The sequence below is a fragment of the Homo sapiens genome, chromosome 11 (genome assembly GCF_000001405.40).
Source record: "Homo sapiens chromosome 11, GRCh38.p14 Primary Assembly".
Lineage (NCBI taxonomy): Eukaryota > Metazoa > Chordata > Mammalia > Primates > Hominidae > Homo > Homo sapiens.
In genome coordinates this window covers 63,461,353-63,479,302 of record NC_000011.10, presented here as the reverse complement: position 1 = coordinate 63,479,302, position 17,950 = coordinate 63,461,353, and the positions used below count along the sequence as shown (strand labels likewise).

General features: G+C 40.9%; 1 protein-coding gene and 1 pseudogene across 7 annotated transcripts in view; one reads left to right on the top strand and one right to left on the bottom strand.

Moving 5' to 3' along the window:
• Positions 1–17,899, top strand: part of PLAAT5 (phospholipase A and acyltransferase 5) — a 29,764-nt gene extending 11,865 nt beyond the window's left edge. For 4 of the 7 annotated variants that reach the window (XM_011544751.4, NM_001146729.2, NM_054108.4 and 1 more), the window contains 3 exons: positions 10,838–10,946; positions 12,931–13,193; positions 15,708–17,899. In XM_011544751.4, coding sequence (XP_011543053.1) covers positions 10,838–10,946; positions 12,931–13,193; positions 15,708–15,800 — 465 coding nt within the window. In that variant the 3' untranslated portion in view covers positions 15,801–17,899. Of the gene's footprint in view, positions 1–10,837; positions 10,947–12,930; positions 13,194–15,707 lie in introns of those variants that run through there. The other 3 variants (NM_001146728.2, XM_011544752.3, XM_047426340.1) reach the window with 3 other exon arrangements.
• Positions 8,228–9,927, bottom strand: LOC100533643 (zinc finger protein 91 pseudogene; annotated as a pseudogene).
• Positions 17,900–17,950: the final 51 nt, after the last annotated feature.

Below are 17,950 nucleotides of genomic sequence, written 5' to 3'. Positions count from 1 at the left end.
TACTATTTGCTATTGTTCCTTTTTAGTCTTCTTCAAAGGACGAGAAAGAGCTCTCCTCCACTTTGCCTTTCTTCACTTACTCTCTTGGCTGCTTTCTGCTCCTCTGTATCCATCTACATCACTCACATGCTGTCTTCCCAACTCGTAGCACTCAACCTCTTCTGTATACTACCGGCTTCCGGGATTTATGGTGGGGGATATCCCTACTGCTTTCCCTGGGCTTATGGCAAAAGAAAATGAAGTCCAGTTTGAAGTCTCCTGCAATATCATTCTGCTTTCTGGGTGAGAAGCCTGGTATGGGGAGCCCTCTAGTGGATATGTGGCTGCCATTACATTTTCCCTTTAAGGCAGAAGAAAGAGTTGGTTTGTTGGCAGGGGCAAGGGAGTAGTTCTGGTCCTAGCTCGACCATGGACTTGCTGTGGGACTTTAGACAAAGCACTTCCTCTCTCTTGGCCTCAGTTCCTTCCATGAAATATTGTAGTGTATACTGTTTGCTTTGTGCCCACAAAAACTCATTGCTGCAAGTGGGCAGGACTTGTGGAATGGCTGAGTGCAGATCTCAGCAAATCCTCTTTTCCCAAAACAATTATGAAGCCAGACAAAATTGCCAAAGACAGTCATTTAAAGACTGGAAATTTGACCAAAGCCATACAACAGATTGAGAAGGGTTAATTTAAGAAAGTCCATCCGTGGTCGGGCGTGGGCTCACGCCTGTAATCCCAGCACTTTGGGAGGCCAAGGCGGGCAGGTCAGGAGATTGAGACCATCCTGGCTAACACGGTAAAACCCCGTCTCTACTAAAAATACAAAAAATCAGCAGGGCGTGGTGGCGCGAGCCTGTAGTCCCAGCTACTCGGGTGGCTGAGGCAGGAGAATCCCTTGAAACCAGGGAGGCGGAGGTTGCAGTGAGCTGAGATCGCGCCACTGCACTCCAGCCTGGGTAACAGAGCAAGACTCCGTCTAAAAAAAAAAAAAAGAAAGTCTATTGGTTCTCAGAAAGAACAGTGGAAGTCTGTAGTGTTTTAGCATTGCCCCTTCACCTCCAGCTCTGCGGTTGTGGTAAGGAAGTTCTATCCAGGTGGGTGGGGCTTGTGGGAGGGAATGGCGTGGCAGCAGAGGGTGACTGACTTTACTTCCATGCCCAGGGTTGTTGAAAACAAGAGTTATCTCAGTGACAATCATGGAAGACCAAAATTGCAGCTAGCTTGAGGTTGCAGTACTGGTTAGGACAAGCAATAGGCCAACAGGCCTGCCAAAAATTTAACATGGAAATCCAGGTAATGATACAACTAAAGAGGGTCTTGAAAAGCTGCCACATGTGTCTGGTGGTCTAGAAGGTATGCACAAGGCTGCATACACATTCACATTCAGGACAGACTGGAGACTCATAAAAATCTGGAACTTTGAATGAATTCTCCAAGCCACACAGAGATCCACTGACAAAAGGTAAAGCCTTCGCGGCACAAGGTGTGGCTCAACTTCTGGCCATTAAGCTATGCCGATCTAGGAAGCCAGGCTTAAAAACAAGAAGCCGGGCACTGTGGCTCACGCCTGTAATCCCAGCACTTTGGGAGGCTGATGTGGGCGGATCATGAGGTCAGGAGTTCGAGACCAGCCTCGCCAACATGGTGAAACCCTGTCTCTACTAAAATACAAAAATTAGCTGTGCATGGTGGCAGGCACCTGTAATCTCAGCTACTCAGGAGGCTGAGGCAGGAGAATCGTTTGAACCTGGAAGGCGGAGGTTGCAGTGGGCCGAGATCACACCATTGCACTCCAGCCTGGGCGACACGGCGAGACTCTGTCTCAAAAAAATAAATAAAAATAAAAACAAGAAAAAAACTCTAAGCAGATATCTCAGTGGTTACATGCTGTGAGACAAACAGACATCACAGAATCAGTCCAGGTGGGTCACTAAACAAACAACAAACAAACAAGCAAACAGCAACAACCGTCCGCCCTGGTTGGGTGGGGAAGGAGATCAGAGCCCACAGTTGCTACGGTATGTTACCTAGAACGTCCAGTTTTTCAACAACAAATTATGAGACCTGCAAAGAAACAGGAAAGAGGGACCCATACACACAAAAACAGTAGAGACTGTTTCCTAGTGGGCCTACATGTTGCATGTAGCAAATACTTCTAAACTGCTATTTTGAGTATATTTAAAGAAGTAAATAAAATCAAGTTTAAAGAATTAAAGGAAAGTGGAATGACAATGACCGATCAAATATACAATATTAATAAGGAGGTAGAAATGATAAAGAAGCACCAAATGAAAATACTGGGGTTGAAAAACACAATGGCCAAAATAAAACATTCACTAGAGTGATTTAACAGCAAATTTGAGTTACCAAAAAGAAAAAAGAATCAGCAAACTCAAAGATGGATCAACAGCAACTACCTAGTATGAAGAGTAGGAGGAAAAAGAAAAAGAAAAATGAACAGAGCCTCAGAGGCCAAGGAGACACCATTGAGCAAACCAACAAATGTATAATTGGGGTCCCAGAAAGAGAGATGATAAAAAGGCAGAAAAAAATACCTATATAAAAGATAACTGAATACTTTCCAAATTTGATGTAAAACATTAATCTATACACCCAAGAAGCTCTGTGAATACCCAGACATATCATTCAAACAGATGAAAGCCAAACACAAAGAGAGAATCTTGAAAACAGCAAGAGAAAAAAAGACTTATTGTATACAAGAGATGCACAATAAAAAACAATAGTCAACTTTTCATCAGAAACAATGGAGACCAGAAGGCAGTGGGATGACATATTAAAAATGCTGAAAGAAAAAAACCTGTTAACCAATAATTTTGTATCCAGTAATGTATCTTGCAAAAATGAAGGTGAAATAAAGATAGTCCCAGATGAATGGAGAATGAGAGAATTTGTGGCTAGCACACTTGCCTTAAAATAAATAGCAAAGAAAATTCTTTGGGTGGAAAGAAAGTCACACCAGATAGCATTCTAAGCCACATGAAATACAAAGCACCAGTAAAGGTAATTATACAGAAGAATCTAAATATATATTTTATCATTTATGCTGACCAATTTGAAAGGTAATTGAATAAAACTAGTTATAAATCCTATTCTTGGTCTTATAACATGCAAATATATAATAAATATAATAGTAATAGCACAAAGGAGAGGGACTGAAATGAAGCTGTATTAGATCAATGACACCAGACAGTAAGTATCTTAATCAACAGGAAGAAATGGAGAGTACCAGAAATGGTAAAATGTAGTTAATATAAATGACCATAAGTATACTTTTTCCTTTTTCTCTTAACTAATTTAAAAGACAAAAATTTGTATAAAGCAATATTTGTAACACTGTCTTCGGTTTATAACATATTTGGATGTAATATATCTGACAATAATAACATAAAGGAGGGAAGAAGGAATGGAGCTAATTTTAAGTTTCCATATTTTACAGGAATCAAGTTAGTATTAATCTGAAGTAGATAGCAATAAGTCAAGATGCACATTGTAATCCCTAGAGCAACCACAAAGAAAACTATTAAAAATGTTATTAAAAAGTTAACAGAGGAATTAAAATGATCATTAGAAAATACGTATTTGATACAAAAAAGAAGGCAAAAGAGGAACAGAGGAACAAAAAAGACGTGATGTACAGAAGATTGACAGTAAAATTATAGTCATAAATCCAACTTTATTAATAGTAACATTAAATGTGAATGAATTAAACACACCAAAAAAAGGCAGAGATCATATGACTTGATAGTACAAGATCCAGTTATATGCCATCCACAAGAGGCACACTTTAGATCTAAAGTCACAAATAGGTTGATATAAACAGTAGCCGTAGCAGGAGTGGTTGTACTAATATCAGACAAAATAGATTTTAAGAGAAGAGGTATTATTAGAAAAAAAGGGTCATTCTATAATGACAAAAGGTGAATTCATCAGGAAGATATAACAATTATAAACATATACATATCCAACAAAATAATCCCAAAAAGTATGAAGCAAAAACTGATAGAAATAAAGGGATAAATTGGGAATTCAGAAATAATAGTTGGGAGACTTCAATACCCCACTCTCAATAGTGGATAGAACAACTAGACAGAAAATCAGTGAGCAGATAGAAGATGTAAGCAACTAACTGACATGATCTAACTGACATTTATAAAACATTTTACTCAACAACAGAATACATATTCTTCTCTAGCACACATGAGTGTTTTCCAGTGTAGACCCTCTTCTAGGCCATAAAGCAAGTCTCAGTAAATTTGAAGGGATTGAAATCCTGCAAAATATTTTATCTGATCACATGAAATTAAATTAGAAATTAATAGCCAAGTGATATTTTGGGAAATTTACAAGTATTTGGAAATTAAGCAACATACATCTAAATAACCCATGGTCAAAAAAAGAACAAGGAAGTTAGAAAATATTTTGAGTTGAGTGAAAATGAACACAGAACATATCAATTTTATGAGATGCAGCTGAAGTGCTTAGAGGAAAATTTATAGCTGCAAATGCCTGTATTAGAAAGGAAAAAATATCTCAAATCAATAATCTAAGCTCCTACCTTAGGAAACTAGGGAAACAAAGCAAACTAAAACCAAAACAAGCAGAAGTAAGAAAATGATAACAACTGGAGTAGAAATCAATGAAATAGAAAACAGAAATCAATAAAGAAAATGAATGAAGCCAAAAGATAGTATTTTGGAAAGGTAAAATAGACAAACTTTTAGCTACACTAACCAAGAAAAAAAGAGAGAGCACTCAAATTGCCAAAACTGGGAATGTAAGAGGGGGCTCACTATCAATCTTATAGACATAAAAGGGAACACTATGAAAAACTTTAAGCAAACAAATTAGACAACTGAGATGAATTGGGTAAGTTCCTAGAAAGACACAAATTATAAAACTGGCTCAAGAAAAACTAGAAAATCTAAATTGAATTAGTAAATAAAAATCTTTTCACAAAGAAAATCTCATGCCCAGATGGCTTTGCTCAAGAATTCTACCATGCGTTTAAATAAGAAAAATTACCAATCTTTCATAAACTCTTTCTGAAAATAGAGGAAGAAATGCTTCCCAACTCATTCTGTGAGGCCAGTATTACCTTGATACCAAAGCCAAGGTATCTCAAAAAAAGGAAGCTACAAGACTAATATCTCTATGAATATACATGTAAAAACCCTCAGAAAAATGCTAGCAAATGGAATCCAGCATGAATATAAAAATGATTATACACAATGACTAAGATTTATCCCAGAAATGCAAGTTTGGTGTAACACCCCCAAGTCAATTAATGTAATATACCAGGGCTGGGCGCTGTGGGGCATGCCTGTAATCCTAGCCCTTTGGGAGGTGGAGGCAGGCAGATCAGTTGAGGTCAGGAGTTTGAGATCAGCCTGGTTAACAAGGTGAAACAAACCAAATAAATTACCTGGGAGTGGTGACGCATGCCTGTAATCCAGCTACTTGGGAGGCTGAGGCACGAGAATCACTTGAACGCAGGAGGTGGAGGTTGCAGTGAGCCAAGATTGCGCCACTGCACTCCAGCCTGGGCAACAGAGTTAGACTTCCTCTCAAAAAACCAAAAAAAAAAAAAAAACAACAAAAAAATATCATGTTAATAGAGTAAAGGACAAAAATCATATGATCATCTCAATACCTCTGGAAAAAGCATTTGTCAAAATCTGCCATTCATGATAAAAAAAAATTCTCTTGAACTCAGTTAAAGGGAGTTTCCTCAACTTGAAAAAGGGCACCTATGAAAAATTCAATGTATGTAGAAAATCCTAAGGAGTCAATCACATACAGGTATACTTCAGACATATTGTGGGTTTGGTTCTAGACCGTCAGAATAAAACGAATATTGCAAGAAAGTGAGTCGCACACATTTTTTGGTTTCCCAGTGCATATAAAAGTTATGTTTACATTATTCTGTAGCCTATTAAATTTGCAATAGCATTACATGTAAAAAAGTACATGCTTTAATTAAAAATACTTTATTGCTAAAAAATGCTAACAAAGCGAGCACACGCTGTTTGAAAAAAGGCGCCAATTGACTTATCTGACGCACGGTTGTCACAAACCTTTAATCTGTAAAAAATGAAATATCTGTGAAGCACAATAAAGCAAAGCACAGTAAAATGAGACATGCCTGTACTTACAAAACTATTAGAACTTTTTTTTTTTTTGAGGCAGAGTCTTGCTCTGTCACCTATGCTGGAGTGCGGTGGTGCAGTGGCACGATCTCAGCTCACTTCCACCTCTGCCTCCCGGATTCAAGCGATTCTCGTGCCTCAGCCTCCCAAGTAACTGGGACTACAGGCGTGTGCCACCACTCCTGGCTCATTTTTTTTTTTGTATTTTTAATAGAGATGGGGTTTCACCATGTTGCCCAGGCTGGTCTTGAATTCCTTGCCTCAAGTGATCCACCCACCTTGGCCTCCCAAAGTGCTGGGATTACAGGCATGAGCCACCGCGCCTGGGCCACAAAACCATTAGAATTAAATATGTTCAGCAAAGTTGCAGAATATAAGGCTAATGTACAAAAATCAATGGAATTTCTTTATATTACAAGTGAACTACCTGAAAATGAAATTAAAAAAATAATTCTATTCATCATAGCATAAAAATACTTAGGAATAACTTTAACAAAAATGTTAGGCTACAAAACATTGGTAAGGGAGATTGAAGATTTAAGTACACACAAAAAATTCCATGTTTGTGGATTGCGAAATATCTGCAATCTTAAGGTGGCAGTCTTCACCAAATCGATCTACAGATTAAACACAATCCCTGTCAAAATATTTTTTTTGATAACCATTGATGAAGTGATCCTAAAATTTACATGGAAAGACAAAGGACCTGGGATAGCCAAAGTGATACTGAAAAAGAACAACGTTGGTTAAGCAAAATGTGGTGCCTCCATATAATGGAGTAACTGACGCATGCTGCAGCAAGCATGAATCTCAGCAGCATTACGCTGCTCATGTAAATTCAACTTCCTCTCTCTAATGTCTCTGTGTGTGTGGATATAGGATTATTTACTTAACTGGTCCTTATTGATGGCTGTTTGGGCTGTTTTTTTCTTTCCTTTTTTTTTCTTCAACTTTTAAGTTCTGGGGTATGTGTGCAGGATGTGCAGGTTTGTTACATAGGTAAAATTGTGCTATGGTGGTTTGTGCACAGATCAACCCATCACCTTAGTATTAAGTCCAGCATCCATTCACTATTGTTCCTGATGCTCTCCCTCCTCCAACCCCCACCCTGACAGGCCCCAGTGTGTGTTGTTCCCCTTCCTGTGTGTCCACGTGTTCTCATCATTCAGCTCCCATTTATAAGTGAGAACATGCGGTGTTTGGTTTTCAGTTCCTGTGTTAGTTTGCTTAGGATAACGGCTTCCAGCTCCAACCATGTCCCTGCAAAGGACATGATCTCATCCTTTTTATGGCTGCATAGTATTCCACATTTTCTTTATCCAGCCTATTAATGTTTTTTAAAAACAATTTTGTTTAAAAAATTAAGTTCACCTGTAATCTTAAATCAGAATTTCAAAATGTACTGCATTTTATTACATAAAAGTACAATTGGTAAAATGATTTACTACTAAAATTCAAAATGTTTTCGTCTCACTGTCATGTAGAAGAATATTACTCTGAACACTTACCTCTTGCTTCACTCAAACAATGTTATAAGTCAACCACAAAGAGCCTCTCCACTTAGATTTTCATTGCGCACCTTACATTTATTTCAATGTCTTTACTCTTCCATGGAAATGGTCATAAATAATGCCCAACTAATGAAAAAGAATCTATCATAGATCTGATGCAACAATAATGGATCACATGCTTTCACATAAACAATAGGAATGAAGGAACAGCATGAAGTAATTTGAGAATTAAATTACATTTGCTTTCAACAAGCTATAATTTTTTCAAGGGAAAACAAATACTTTGTAATTATAACTCTTCAAAAAAAGTCTTCTGTTTCTTTTAAAGTTATATACAAAAAAAATCTGACAGTTTTGGCTTTGAATTATTTTCTGTACTCAACACTCTGATTTAGTGTAATGTATGAAGTGTCTATACCTTAGTTCTTTCTACTGTGAATCCTCTGATGTTTATATAGACTTAATGTTTGATTAAATATTTTTTTCACATTTACTGCATCTGCAAAAGTATCTTTTAGTATGAACTCTCTGGTGTTCTTCATGCTGGAGTTTTTAAACAAATGTGTTTCTACATTCATTTCATCTGTAAGGTTTCTTTGCAACATAAATTCTCTGATGTTCAACAAGGTTTGAACAACTGCTTTGGTGTTTTCCTCTAGTATAAAATATGTACAATAAGGTTTGTAATACAAGTAAAGGCACTACAGTCCTCTTTATATATGTAATGTTTTTCTTCAGAATAAATACTCTTATTCACTTTAAAGGCTTATATTTTCTGAAAGTTTTTTTTACAGTAATTACATTTATAATGGTTTCATTAAGTATGAATTCTCTGATTTTGAGTAAGATGTGAGCAGATAGCAATGGCTTTTCCACATTCTTTATATTTGTACAATTTTTCTAAAGTATAAATGCTTTCGTGTGCAATAAGGCATGAACATTAATTAAAAGTTTTGCCACATTATTTATATTTGTAGGGGTTTTCTTTAGTATGAATTATCTTACATACAGTAAGGTGTGACATCCATTTAAAGGCTTTGCCACATTCTTCACATTTCTAGGATTTCTCACCAGTATAACTTATTTTATGTTTAGAAAAGTATGAGGTGTGGTTAAAAGCTTTTCCACATTTTTCAGATTTGTAGAGTTTATCTCCGGTATGAATTATCTTATGTTTACGGACCTTTAAAATGCTTTGCCATATTCAATCATAGGGTTTCTCTCCAGTATGAATCTCTTATGTATAATAAGAGTTGAAGACTGGTTAAAAGCTTTACCACATTCTTTGCATTTGTAGGGTTTTTCTCCAGCACGAATTATCTTATGTTTACTAAGGCTTGAGATGCACTTAAAAGGCTTTGTCACATCCTTTACATTTATAGGGTTTCTCTCTACTGTGAATTCTCTTATGTTCATTAAGGTTTGAAGACCAGTTAAAGGCTTTGCCACATTATTCACATCTGTAAGAATTCTGTCTAGTATGACTTCTCTGATGTTGAGTTAGGTGTGAGAGCATGTGAAATAATTTGCCACATTCTTTTTTTTTTTTTGAGATGGGAGTCTTGCTCTGTCACCCAGGCTGAAGTGCAATGGCGCGATCTTAGCTCACTGCAACTTCCACCTCCTGGGTTCAAGCTATTCTCCTGCCTCAGCCTCCTGAATAGCTGGAACTGTAGGTGCGTGCCACCAAGCCTGGCTAATTTTTTTGTATTTTTAGTGGAGATGGGGTTTCACCATGCTGGTCAGGCTGGTCTTGAACTCCTGACCTCAGGTGATCCACTCACCTTGGCCTCCCAAAATGCTAGTATTAAAAGTGTGAGCCACTGCACCTGGCCAATTTGCCGTATTCTTTACATTTGAAAGGTTTCTCTCCAGTATGCCATGTCTTATGTCTATTTGAATTCGAAAATTTGCTAGAGACTTTCACATATGTATTACATTAAAATATTTTGCTCTGAGTAGTTGACAAATTAACGACATTAATGACATTAATTAAGTCCATTATGACCTCCTTTGTGCACTTTGCACTCACCCACACTTTTACAGCCTTTCCTTAATTGTAAATTCTCATGTTCACATTTTCCATATCTTTTTAGTATCACTTTTGGGAATGAATCTTTTATACCCTGTTTTGGCCAAAGGTCTTGGGTGAAATGAGAACATGTAACTGGGTGTTTCGCTACCATCTTGTGTCTCTCCATATTCCAGGGCTCTTTTCTTTGCTCCAGGTAGTTGATCAGGTCTGGCTTAGAGACAGCAATACCATTTCTAGGCTTCCAGCGGAGTCCTAACATCTTAGCTATGGATTTCCAAAGACCTGCAGGTCACAGGGCCACAGAAGCTGGGTCTCTAGGAGATGATAACACAGCAGTGAAGGTGCAACCTGGAGCTCTGGTCAAATATTTTTTAAAAAGATGGATGCTTATGTACAACTCTATGCCTACCTATTCATGTATATTCTCATTCTCTCTCTACCTGTCTCTCTCTCTCTCTCACACACACACACACACACACACACACACACACACACACACACGATAATAGAGAAGTTTGCATTTGCTGGGCAAGCAGGACTGAAGTGGCTATTAGCAACTGGTGGTGTGGGTGTGCAGAGGATGGGGGCACCCTCTGGGCTTCAGGTGGGTCACGTGGGGGCCCTGCAGAGGGAATCAGGGTGCCAGCAGGGGCAGGAGGCCTTGAGGATCCTGGGTCTGAGGTAGAACTCTACTAGATGTCCACACACCCACACTACTGACCATCATCCTGCCCACCCCAGCCAGAAACTGCAGGAGAACCCCTTTGTCTTGCAGTACAAGAGAAAGCCAGCACCCTTTACTGAGAAGGTTTAACATCTTACTTGCTTTAAGGAAGAAATGCTTAAAACAAGTTTAGTCATCTATCACAGGGTATATATTGGAGGATACATTCACAGCTGAGAGGCAATACATTGATAACTGGCACGGGTATCCTTGATGGCTTTAGTAATGTGAGTGGGGTAGGAGAGGAGGGGACTTCTTTGGTCCTCAGTGTGAAGAGAAATTTCTTTAGCTTGGGTTTCTGTGAAGTGATGAACCACACTGAGGGGATCTTTAGGCTGAGCTGTCCCTGATCCTAAAACAAGGTCTCTGGAGTTCCTTGAGCATGTGCCATTTATCTTTTATTTTTCCATTATAGGGAAAACCAAGACCCAGACCTGGAGACCTGATTGAGATTTTTCGAATTGGCTATGAGCACTGGGCCATCTATGTAGAAGATGATTGCGTGGTCCATCTGGCTCCCCCAAGTAAGAGTGAATAGTCTATTGAAATACTGATATTGAAGTTAGCAAAGTAAATAGAAGCACAGTTAATTACTGTGTTCCTCAGTTACTGCCATTCTTTAGCAATGGGACCCCTTGAAGCATGACTGGACCTTTGCTTACTGTGTGACAGAGCTTGGTCTCTGTTCACCAAAAACCAATGAGTGTCCAGGCCTAAGAGTGATACAAGTGTAAAGAGCGTGGCCCAAGTTCCCTGACCTCCTAGAGGGCCCTTTGTTTAAATACACACATTTTAGAACTTGAGCTCCATTTTGTATTGACAAAAGTTGAGCATCTATCCTCATCTTTCTGAGGATTCCCCAAGGAGGGTGCAGATGCTCACATGTTCTGATCGTCATTTGTTTTCTATAGTCCTCAGACACTGCATCTGGCTTCTTGATCACCTTTGGCACCTTCGTCCTCACCTTGTCTCGCTGCTGTTCCAACATGCTCCTTGCTGTTTCACCCTAAATGTAGATACAGCCCTCTTTTCATTTCTCACAGCTGCTTAACATATGGCTGAGATTCAATTTGTGTTAATTAAATCTTAGTGGAGATTTGATGGGGGAGGAGGTGATGATAGTAGAGGAAGAGTACAGCAAAATGGGAAACAACTTAAAATTGGGTATCTAGAACTGCTGGTCACAGTGGTTATCTCAGGAGATGAGGCCTGATAAGGGTTGGGGTTTGGGAGAGGAAGGGGTAGGTAGACCCTGTTGAATACCATTGAATGCACTTTGAATGCTGTCTCCTGTGCAGGTATTGCCAGTTCAAAGTTGAATTACAGAAGGGCACTATACCAAAGGCCTTTGGTCCTAACTTGTTCTCAGCTGTCATCCCTGTGTCCTGTCCTCTTCCTCTGGCCCAGTCTCTCACCATGCAGGGATGTTCCCATGGAGCAGAGCCCCTTTCTCATTGCCTCTCTTCTCTGCCCCATCCACTCATACCCTTCCCACTTCTTGTCTCAGAACCTACTCAAAGAATGTAGAAATTCATCTCTTCTTTCCAGACTAAGTCCAGGAGTTTCCCTCTTGTACAACCACAGAGATACTTATCAGTTATGTCTTCCCCCACCCCTATCTTGCTCTCTGAAAATGAATTCTGCCATTTCTGCTCCTGAATGCTGAATTATCTATTGCCAGCTTTTATAAAATCAGCAGATTTTCTTCAAATTTGTAAGAAAAGATCATGGAGCATTTCTTGCCCTTGGACAACTTATAAAGGGAAGGGTATACACATTCGCATATCAACATGGTTGTAGCAGTGCTACTTTAAATGACTACCCACCCAGCTTTGGGCAGGTTCCTGACCCTCTTTCAGTCTCTGTCTCATCTCAGGGCTGAATATGATAATGTAGCACCTTTCAAACATTTCTTTTTTCAAAGCTGTGGAACCCTGTTTTCAAACATACCCTTAATGAGAATCCCCGTATTTGAGTAGAGGTCAGTCAAGTGGCTGTAGGTGGAAGCTGGCAGGAGCAGGTGCCATTCAGAGCCCTGCTTGGCTGGCTTCCCCTGTGTCCCTGTGGCAGCCCAGAGGGAGGCGTGACATGGAACCACCATAATCATGTATGTGATAGCCTTTTACCCATGAGCTGACACTTACATAGAGAGTGCTCTTTACATGTTTGTGAAGATTACTGAAGTCTTCTCAGGAAATGAGACTCAAATCCTAGGACTTGGGTAGGTCAGTGCAACACAGTCTGGGACCACATGGGAAGGTGCTCCAAGAGTTTAATGAGAAAGAGACTCCTGTGCGGGTTGAGAGCAGGGAGTGAGGCGCAGGGCAAAGGGCTTCTCAGGAAAGTTGATTCTCTGCGGTTCTTTGATTCCAACTTCCCCTCTTCTGCCACCCTTCTACTGATGGTGCCAATGAGACTCCAGGGGAAGCAGCTTACTCAGAGTCTTAGACTGTGCTCTGCTTTGCTACTCCTTGTATTTCCCAACCTTTGTTTGTCTTTGGTCTCCAGGTGAGGAGTTTGAGGTGGGCAGCATTACTTCCATCTTTAGCAATCGGGCCGTGGTGAAATACAGTCGTCTGGAGGATGTGCTGCATGGCTGCTCCTGGAAGGTCAATAACAAGCTAGATGGGACGTACCTGCCCTTGCCGGTGGACAAGATCATCCAGCGTACAAAAAAGATGGTCAACAAGATCGTGCAGTACAGCCTGATTGAAGGGAACTGTGAGCACTTTGTCAATGGCCTCAGATATGGCGTACCCCGGAGCCAGCAGGTGTGACCCCATTTGCTCTGATGATGGCTTCTTCCAGAGCTTTCTTGGGGTTTGTCATTTCATTAGTGATCAGAATGGTAATCAGGGCTTTCATTATATTATTCGTTATACTAGTAGGGCCTTCTATTTCTGCAGGACTTTATGGTTCAGGAGGTATTTTCACCTTTATTAACCCAGGGAGGAGTAGAAAAGGCACTGGGCTAATAGTAAGACCAGCGATTGGAGCCCCAGCTCAACTATTAACTAGAGGGGTATCCTTGGTCAAATCAGTATATTTCTGAAAGCTTTTCTTTCTTTTCTTTTTTTCCCCTCTTTCTTTGGAGACAGGATCTCACTCTGTCACCTAGGCTGGAGTGTAATGACATAATCATGGCTCATTGCAGCCACAACCTCCTGGGCTCAGGCCGTCCTCCTGCCTTAGCCTCCTGAATAGCTGGGACTTCAGGTGTGCATCACCACACCCAGTTAATTTTAATTTTTTTGTTGAGAGGTGGTTTTGCTATGTTGCCCAGGCTGGTCTTGAACTCCTGGGCTCAAGTGATCCTCCACTTCGACCTCCCAAAGTGCTGGGATTACAGGTGTAAGCCACCGTGACTGGCCAAAGACCATTTCTTCCTTAACAAAGCAGGGATAAGCAGAAGCAGATACTCTGTTGATAAAATTGCAACCTAGTACTTTGTGGGCCACATCTTGGATACACACACACACACACACACACACACACACACACACACACACTTTTTGTTTGAATTACTTGCCAATATTTAAAAATATAGAAATTTTATATAAAAAGATGTAGGTTCTCAGCTTCTCTCTCTCTCTCTTTTTTTTGAGACAGAGTTTTGCTCTGTCGCCCAAGTTGGAGTGCAGTAGTGCAATCTCGGCTCACTGCAACCTCCGCCTCCTGGGTTCAAGCGATTCTCCTGCCTCAGTCTCCCAAGTAGCTGGGATTACTAGGTGTGCGCCACCACGTCTGGCTAATTTTTGTATTTTGAGTAGAAATGGGGTTTTGCCATGTTGGCCAGGCTGGTCTTGAATGCCTGACCTCAGGTGATCCACCCGCCTCGGCCTCCCAAAGTGCTAGATTACAGGCATGAGCCACTGAGCCTGGCCCTCAGCTTTCTTTTTAACATACAATTGATCAGGCCACTGGGCTGGCATTCCTACTTGCTGACACTCTGTAGGGACATGCTGTGGCTTTGCAGGGGATAAGGGGTAGGTATGTCACCCACCTGCCTCACTCACATTACCTGCCTGGCCTATACTGCATTTGGCTCTGTCACTTCCTCCCATATAGAGAAGTAATAAATTCATGTAGTTCAGTGCATGTGAAATAACTTTGAATCCTAAATGTATGTGAAAACTTGGGCTATTCATGTTAATAGGTGATCCTTACTAAAACTCCATGAGATGAGCAGAGAAAGCATTTATTATCACTACTCCCCTTTTTTTTTGAGACAGAGTCTTGCTCTGTCACCCAGACTGGAGTGCGATGGCGTGATCTCGGCTCACTGCAACCTCTGCCTCCCAGGTTCAAGCGGTTCTCCTGCTTCAGCCTCCCGAGTAGCTGGGACTCCAGGTGCACGCCACCATGCCCAGCTAATTTTTGTATTTTTAGTAGAGATGGGGTTTCACCATGTTGGTCAGGATGGTCTCAATCTCTTGACCTCGTGACCCACACGCCTCAGCCTCCCAAAGTGCTGGGATTACAGGCGTGAGCCACCACACCCAACCTATTATCCCCCTTTAAAGAGATGGAAAAAATTAAGGATTAAAAGAAGAACATAATTATTCTATTTTTTTTCTATGTTTCTTCTGTTGTCTAAGCAGATTGGGCTCACATTCCAATGTTAGTCTCTGCTTTTGCCAGCCCATCCTCAGTGACCATTGGCAGCCTCCCTGCTGTGCCCTTTACTTTCTGCACCTTCCTCCTCTCTGCTCTGCATCCTCTCCAGCCTGCACTCCATTCTTGTGAGGCTTTTCTCTAGTGTCCGGGGCTTGGTGGGCCCTGGTGTGAGAAACCTCCCGTCCCGTGAGAATTTGCACATGAAGACCCCAAGGACTGAGGGCATTACAAGAAGTCCTCTGAAGAAGCTTGGGCCTAGGAGTCATGAGGCCCAAGAACCCAAGAGCTAAGTTTGGACATGAATTCACTGTATGGCTCTGTCCAAGTGAGTTCCGCTCCCTGGCTCTTGGATCCCCTGTTTGTAGAATGAGGGCCTCAGTGGCTGTGGTGCTGTGAGATCCTTTGCCTCTGAGCCCCACACTGGAAGCAGACCCTGGGCCAAATGGCACAGAGGGAGGAAGGGGTTGTCTGTCTCCAACAATCCTGGCTTTTCTTGGTCTCTTGTCACTCTAGGAGTTTTGAAAATATAAGATAGCATGGACTGCTTCTTCTCTTGGGAATAGACTCCAGACAGGCTGGTTGCTGAATGGGTATGGTGGGGTGGAGGTAGGGGAGGGTGCAAGCCTAGGATTGGTACTGATTGTCCTGTGAACTGATGTGCTTTGCAGGTAGAGCACGCCCTGATGGAAGGAGCGAAGGCTGCTGGAGCAGTTATTTCAGCTGTAGTGGATAGCATAAAGCCCAAACCAATAACTGCCTGAAGGTGATGAAAACTCCAGCTAGAGGAAGAGTTACTGACACAAGCAAAAAGAACATGCTTCCTTCCCTTGCCTTCTCTCAATGGCTCCGATTAAGAAAATTGTGAACTTCTGGAAGAATCTACAATGTATCCAATTACCCTTCCAGAAATACATCCAATATATACGAGCATAGACCCACAGACTCTCAGGATGGGAAGGATCTGGTATCTAGTGTGTATCTCTTATGCGCCAGGCACTGTGCTAGGCATTTCATATACGGATCTAATTTCACTCTCTTTGTAGGATGGGACCTTGCTTGTGTCTTAGGCTGACCTTGGTCTCCGATGCTTGAGTGCCATCAGAAACATCCCAGAAACCTCTGCTTGAATATTTCCAGTAACGAAGATGTCTTTTTCCAGATGTTCTTTTTATTTAACTAAAATGTCTCTAGCTTCTTTCCATTTATGATAATCCTGCCCTTTTCGACCCACAGTGTAGCTCAGAGGAGGAGGACCTTAAGAAAAACTGAGATTCGTTATTCAGGGCCCATGGTACCTTAATCTAGAAACACATATCCCAAGAAATATTTTCTTTTTAAAATTATACATCAACTTTATGCCTTATTGTTTAAAAATCTTCTATCAAAAGTATCATCGATAAGACAATTTATCTTGCTTTTGTACCTCATAATTACCCTAAAATGTGAAGTTTCTAGTCTCACTGATTTCAGATGAATATTTAAAATAATTTGATAAGTTTAATCAATTGAACTCTACTGTGTGAGTGAGGGAGAGAAAGGAGTTATTTTTGTGTTTTGAAGAAAGTTGACAGGATGGAAGATCTGAAATTATGGCTGGGGATTGTAGTGATAGCTGGTAGCTGAAACCACCCAAAAAAGCTAGAAAAGTGTTCTCTTATGCCTCCAGAGATACCTAGAAAATATGAAGAATGTGGAAAAGAGCAAGATGGAACCCTCAGAGTGTTTCAGATAAGGTCTGTTGGTATCTCCATAAGCTTTTCTCCTATTTGGAGAAAATAGACTCTCACTGAAACTCTTCAATGTTTTTACCCTCCATCCTTTTCTTAGCAATCTAAACTCAATGGCCTCCTGTTCCCCAACACTGCAGTCTGGGCATCTGACTTTGTCTTCCCTCTGCACTCATTTCTGTGAATCATGACCAGGATGAAACTGATATCCCTAGTTCCTCTTCCCCATTTCTTCTCACACTCCCCTGCCTGAGAATCAGTTGAGTTCCCAATACCTCTTCCTTCAGTCTCTATTCATTATATGGTCTAGGTTGAGACTTCCTTGGAAGCAGAACCTGAGTACCAGGAACTCATATTTTATAAAGTATATTTATTCCTTTTAGCTGCAAACTAACCCAGCCATGTTTTAGTGAATGCTTTAATCTGAAGATGACTTTGAGCTCATTGACCATATTAATCTTTCATCAAACAAACTGGATGTTGTTTCATTAACAAAAAACTCCTCCACACCAAGGAGTGTTTAGTAACTTCTGCACAGAGGACTCATCCATCTCTTGCTTATGTTTGGGACAGAAAGACACTTCTCTGGCTTTTTACTGGCTTGAACCCAATGGGACAGAGACTCTCTAGAAAGTTTCAGGGCTCACATTCACTTGTTTGTCCAAAAAATATTTTTGAGTGTCTCCCAAGTGCCAAACCCTGGCTACTCCCACCTTTGCCTGAGCCCATGAGCGGTAGTCTGGGGGCTGGATGTGAGGAGTTCTGAGTTGGCTAGGAAGACACAAGGCACAATGGACATGGGGCAAAGTCCACTTGCTGGACATTGGTCCCTTCCACTTCCAAGCTGTCCATCAGGCTGAGAGATCTGGAATGCATACCCCACACTTTGAAGATGAGGAAGGGCGAGTTTCTCAAAGTGTGTGTGTGTGTTTCTCTTTTAATCTGTAATGGTTTCTGCATTTTGAGGTAGAAACAGAAATCTCTTTTTTGAGTGGGACCACTCGGGTGCGGCTTCTTAGTCTTGTTGATATAATAAAGCACATGCCCACTCCTCATGGAGTGGAGAGGAGAAAATTCTAAGGGAACGTACTCTGAATGCAAATGTTTCTGAGATTAAACACTAGTCACTTGTTTGTGTGCTTATTTTTCACTTTTTGGGAATGGGTGGGTGATTGGGGCAGTGG